The 6,382-nt window shown below is 43.4% G+C and overlaps 1 annotated feature.

The window, feature by feature from the left end:
* Positions 2,011 to 3,210: an enhancer, noted in NCBI's record as "CDK7 strongly-dependent group 2 enhancer chr20:18897388-18898587 (GRCh37/hg19 assembly coordinates)". NCBI's record gives its function as "activates an origin of replication core promoter dependent on BRD2, BRD4, P300/CBP, MED14 and CDK7 cofactors, with strong dependence on CDK7, by STARR-seq in HCT116 cells {active_cell/tissue: HCT116}" and the evidence as "EXISTENCE:reporter gene assay evidence [ECO:0000049][PMID:35650434]".

Here is a 6,382-nt window from a genome sequence, read left to right as displayed (position 1 = left end):
AAGGGGGTTTGTTTTGGGAAAGGGCTGTTATTATCTTTGCTTCAAAATTAAACTATAAGTTCCTCCCACAGTTAGTTCGGCCTATGCCCAGGAGTGAACAAGGACAGCTTGGAGGTTAGAAGCAAGATGAAGTTGGTTAGGTCAGATCTATTTTACTGTAATAATTTTCTCAGTTATAATTTTGCAATGGTTGCTTCAATCATAAGTTCCTCATTTCTACCTGAGTCCTCCTCATCCTAGACTTTACTGCCCATATCACTATCAGCATTGTGGTCACAACTATTGAACAAGTGTCTGGAAAGTTCCAAAGTTTCCCTCACCTTCCTTTCTTCTTCTGAGCCCTCCAAGCTGTTCCAACCTCTGCTGGCTACCCAGTTTCAAAGCTGCTTCCACATTTTCAGGCATCTTTATAACAATGCCCTCACTTCTTAGTACCAATTTTCTGTATTAGTCCATTAGTCCATTGTATTGCTATAAGGAAATACCTGAGACTGAGTAATTTATAAAGAAAAGATGTTTAATTGGCTTATGGTTCTGCAGACTGCACAGAAAGAATGATGCTGGCACCTGCTCAGTTTCTGGTGAGGCCTCAGAAAATCATGGCAGAAGGCAAAGGGGGAGCCAGCACTTCACATAGCCAGAGCAGGAGGGAGAGAGAGGAGGGGAGGTGCCACACACTTTTAAACAATCAGATCTCACGAGAACTCACTATCGCTATGAGAGCACCAAGTGGGGATGGTGTTAAACCATGAGAAACCAGCCCCATGATCCAATCACCTCCCACCAGACTCCACCTCCAGCACTGGGGATTACATTTCAATACAAGATTTGGGTGGGGACACAGATCCAAACCATATCAGTATGTCCCTGAGTTGTTTTTCAGAAATCTTGATCTACACCAAACAGATCCACTGGCACACAGACCTCAGATAAGGAGAAACTGAGGACTGGAAACTGTCACTGCTGTCCTTTGTTCTAAATTTCTTCCTGAAAGGCCTGGAGGAGGACACACCCATGAGCCAGAGCTAACATTCTTTTCTGCTGATCCTAAACTTTCTACACAAAGCTTCACCTCCTTAACCAATTGCAAATCAGAAAATCTTTGACTCCACCTATGACCTTTGGGCCCCTGCTTCAAGATGTCCTGCCTTTCTAGGTCAAAGCAATGCATAGCCTCCATGTATTGACTCATGACTTTTCCTGTGACCTCTGCCTCCCCACCTTTAGAAACCCTTATCTGTAAGCCCTCCGGGAATTTGGGTCTTAGGCTTTAGCAGCCCCATTCCCCCTGCTTAGTGCCCTACCATAAATGCCTCATTTTCTCTCACTGAAATCCCGATGTCAGTGTTTGAGTTTGCGGCATTGGGCGGGCAGAACCCAGATTCATTCAATAGCAAGTATCACCTGAGAGCTTGTTGGAGATGCAAATTCTCAGTTCTCATCCCAAAGCTACCAATTAGAGTCTACATTTTTTAAAAGGACCCCCAGGTGATTCCCGGGCATATGAAAGTTGGAGAATCCCTGACCTAAAGGATACAGTCCCAAAAGTAGGGAACAAAGACAAAAATTCCCATCTTCAAGGAGCATATTTTCACTTGGGAGAGATAAATGGTAAATAATAACAATAATGTTACATATAGTATTTATTTATTTAACTAGAGATATGAAACTGGTGATTTTGGAAGTAACCAGCAGATTTTTTTGCTTTAAATTTTGAAAATTGCATGTAAGACATTGATAAGTGCTAGGAAAAAGGAAAGAGAGTGTGGGAGATAAGTTTGCATCTTCAGATAGGAAGACAGGAAAGACCCCCATCGAAAAGACAGTATTTGAATAATGGCTTGAAGGAGGGGAGTGGGAGGGGCCTGCAGAAATCTGGTGAAGAATATTACCGGCAGAAGAAACAGCCAGAGCCAAGGCCCTTCCAGGTAATGTGGGCCAGGAGTCGGGACAGAGAAGTACCTGGGGCAGACTGCCTGAGCCCATTTGGCATTGGAAAGACTTTGTCTTCTACTCAGAGTGTGAGCTGAGGCTGGGTAACCTAGAACAGTGATGTAATCTAATATGTTTTTAAAAGATTCCTCTGGCTGCTGATTTGAAAATACACCATGGGGGCAGAAACAGGGAGAACCAGTCACAAAGCCATTGCAATCGTCCAGGGGAGAGGCGGTGGTGGCTCAGAGCGGGGTGGCAGCAGAGAAGGCCATGAGAACTGGTGAGATGTCCACATCCTGCTCTAAACTGGCCATTTGTGACAGTCTCTCCCCCACCTCCAACAGGGAGGGACAAAGCTGGCATTTTCTGTGACTTTTAAAAGTGTCACCCAGGCCACAGGGGTGTAAGTTATACAAAGAAATCTGTACCAAAGCTGTGTCTCACTTCCCCATGTTTACATCAGAGCCCACTGCTGACGAAGGCACCTTCTGACTGTGTCATTCACAAAGGTTAATGTGCCATGTTGTTTTTACTGTTCTATATAAAGGACTGTAATGGTCGCCAGTGGAGGAAATTAGAGTCCCTGCAAAGCAGAGAAGTCATAAAAAAACACAGCTTAGTTTCCAGTGAGGTTTGAAAGAAGACCCTGGGTGACTCATGTGAAATTTCTCTTTTTACTCATTCAGGAGTTGAATGATTGCCATTTATCTTTATCAGCAAAGATAATTAAATAGCACAATTCTGGTGGGAAGCCAGCCTTGAGGGGAAGAGAGAAGGAAGGGGAGGGAGCAGGAAGCATTAAGTTCTGCCTGTCATTACATGGATCATCTCACTGCCCACATAAACTCATTAACATGTTCTTTCCCTCAGGTCGACCCTACCCCAAGCTCTAAATTTTCAACCACCATGGCCCATCCTGGTCATCACTAGTCTGTACTTTCTTAGGAGTCTGAGGTTGGAAGATGAGTCAACAGGAGGAACTCTGCCAGAAACATCATAGGAGTTGAGAGATGGCAAGGGCCAGTCGCCATCTTGAAGGACTGCAAAGGCGCATACAGTCGCCCAGGTGAAAGGGGGTGAAACTGCCTCAGACAAAGGCTGAGCACAGATCTCCCTTTCAACAGCTCTAATTTTATAAACTCATGGGGGCTTACAAATGGACCAATTCCATTCATTCATTTACCCACTGATAAGGAACGTGAAGCCCAGAAATGCAAGTGATTTGCTCAAGGCCACACGACTAATCAGAACCAGACCAATAAATTAAATGCAGAGACCCTTTTCTTATAGCACTGAGTTCATCATTTGTGTTTTAATAGTTCAAGACTAGCTTCTTTGGGGACTAATAATGGGCTCTCCATTCTATCATGGGTCAAAATTGGTGCTTCCCTGGGGAAGCCCAAATACTAATTCCAATATCACACTACCCCGAAATATAGTACCTTGGCATTTAGCAAAACAGAAGGAGCAGGAAGGGTCTCTAGCCTTCTCTTGCTGTTCTACCCTGAAGCAGGCCATAAAAGAATTTTCCAACCTTTATTTAAAGTAGGTTATAAAACCCTAATCCCAGAGGGGTCCTATGCCTGGAAGAAAGACACAGATATGCCAAGAAGAATCTGAACAAGCAGGCCTTGCTCAGCTCCTCCCAGCTTGTTACCACTAGATCACGCTCCCTTTGTCCAATTCTACTTCTGCATAACTGTCTACTCTTCATCAAATCCAAGCATAAAAATACGCAGCGTCCCTGCTTCTTTGGGTCATCATTTCCGAAGCCTCCCATCACACACAAAACTTATATTTCATAAATTTGTATGACTTTTTCTCATTAATCTGTTGTCATAGGGGTCTCAGTCATGAACACCGTGAGGAGTCAGGAAAAAGATATTACTTCCCCTACCTTCAATCTCACTTTTTTATCAAGAGGCACTATGAGGAAAGTACATGTCATGTCCAGATTCCCACTCCTTTTCTCTGACTCAGCTTCTTCTCCTACCCTCAAAACAAGTGGAGTTTTTTTCTTCTGCTCAGCTTACTTTACCCTTCTCAAGACAATTGGCTTGCTAGTATCCTATTCTTGCTATTTCCTCTCTCTGTTTTCCAGTTCTGCCTGGTGGGCTAGTGTGGAGAGAGATGGGAGGAGGAACTATGGTCCTTCATAAATATGTCATTTGTCCCCATTGCATTGTCCAAGACTCTCTCCTTGCCCAAACTTCCGGCAGGCTCCTCTGAGCCCTCTTCTCAATGAGGCCTCAGCCTTGGCCTTGGTCCCATCACACTTGGTATCTGATCACACTCAATATCTGACCAAATTCCTCACTCCCCACCCATGATATTGTATCACCCTGGCCTGTCTTCAGCAAGGATCCTGTCAGCTTAGCAAGAATCCCCCATCCTTGATGTCTCCGCTTGTAATTTTCCATCCACTGACCACTTCATTTTGCTCATTGACCATTAAATCCCCACTTGCCCTTGCTGTATTCAGAGTTGAGCTCCATCTCTCCTCTATTGTGAGTCTTGGCACTGATCACAATAGTTCTGAATAAGGCTGTCCTTAGCATTTTAATGAATGTCAGAATAAATTTTTCTTTAACAGCATATACATGGGAGGGAGGTTGGAAGGAAATAAACCAAACATGAATGATGATTACCTCTGGATGGTACTTGACTGTATACGTTATTGTATTTCAGTAAAACAAATTGATTTTTATAATCAAAAAATTAAATGAAAGTATTTTAATTTGAAGTTTTCAAAAGTCAACAGCCATGCCTATCAAATGTTTTTTAAGTTTATTCTTAGCTTCTTAAAATAAATTCCACTTTGTTGCAATGAAGCAAGAAATGCTCTGCCCACCATGGGTCGTCCTAAAGGGCACTGGTATGTGGAAGGGAGTGTCTAGTGGAAACACATTCACCTTCAGAATCATGCCCTGTCCAAACCTTCTTTTCAAACATCCAATCAGCCAGTGATTAGGGACTGGTAACCTGATCAGAGAGTTAAGGAGTGGCCGCAAGGAGACAGAAGAAACAGTCAGGAAGGGAGTGGCACAGTAGGTCTTTGGCTATTTGAATATGTGTAAGGGTTTATGTCAGAAAAGAAACTCTATCCCACCATGTTTTTCCTCTACTGTCACATCACAACAATCATTAACAAACAGGAAGACTTCTGTGACCAAATGTATGGGGGTTTGGTCACAACAGACATGCAACAGACACCAGCTGTGTGTCCTCCAAGAGAGTGTCAGATCCCACAGATTGGGGGCTCAGGCCCCAAGACTGTCTCCCAGACACCAGTCATAAGTCCAGGCCACCAGAACTTCTGACCAGCTGGCTGAATTCAAGTTGGGGTTCCCATGACCCCATCTTTGGGTTTGATTAATTAGCTGGAGAAAATGTACAAATTTGCATTTACTGGTTTATTAAGAGAATATTACAAAGGGTACAGATGAAGAGATGCATAGGGTGAGCCATCGGGAAAGGGGCCTGGAGCTTCCATGCCCTCCCGGGGTGCCACAGTCCAGGAACCTCCATGTGTTCAGCTATCTGGAAGCTCTCTGAACCCAATCCTCTTGGGTTTTTATAAAAGCTTCATTAAGTAGGAATGGTTGGTTAAACAATTGGCCATTGGTGATTAATTTAACTTTCAGCCCCTTCCCCACTTCTCAGAGATTGGGGGAGGTGGCTGAAAGTCCAACCATCTAATCCTGGCTTGGTCTTTCTGGTGACCAGCCCCCATTGTGAACCTGTCAGACAAAAGCCACTCTAAAAGACAGCGCTTTGGAGATCTTAAGGATTTTAGGAGTGATAAGCCAGGAAACCATGGACAAAACTCATGTATATAAAATACCACAGGTTGGTCAACCATGTAAAGTAAAAAGAAAACATTTCCTAAGGAAGCCCCAAGGCTTCAACCACCCAGTCATGAGACTACTCTCTGACTTGAACTTGATGGTGAACACTACACATGTCACTGTCTCCTTCTAAGAGACCACGTTGACAGGTGTGAACTTTCTAGGCAGCCACTTGCTTTAACCCCTGTCTGAAATTCAATTGAAAGCCAATGTACATCCAAATTTTAGTCATACTTCAAAGTGATCCCCCAACTTTATTAGGGGGAAAAGCCAAATTCCATCCTTCTCTGGTCACAACCAGGTATGAGTTTACAAAGAGTAAATACACCTTGGCTTCAAACCAAGAATAATCTGGTTCACCTGATGTTACACAGCACAGATTCCTGGAGGCAGAAGGACCTTGCAGGTCACTTTATAGATGAGGACACCAGCCAAGGTGAGACAAGGTTTTTTATTATTCTCTTTTGTTTTCTATGCATTAAATTTAAATTATATGAGCACTACCTAAAAGCTGATTGTGTTAGAAATCTATGTAAGCTGAAAGTGTATCATTTCTGATACCTGTCTACATCGCTATGGATATAAAAGTCTACAGTTCT

Source organism: Homo sapiens, chromosome 20 (genome assembly GCF_000001405.40).
Source record: "Homo sapiens chromosome 20, GRCh38.p14 Primary Assembly".
NCBI classification, from domain to species: Eukaryota; Metazoa; Chordata; class Mammalia; order Primates; family Hominidae; genus Homo; species Homo sapiens.
Note: the sequence above shows the minus strand (reverse complement) of the source record. Positions and strands in the feature narration are given on the sequence as shown.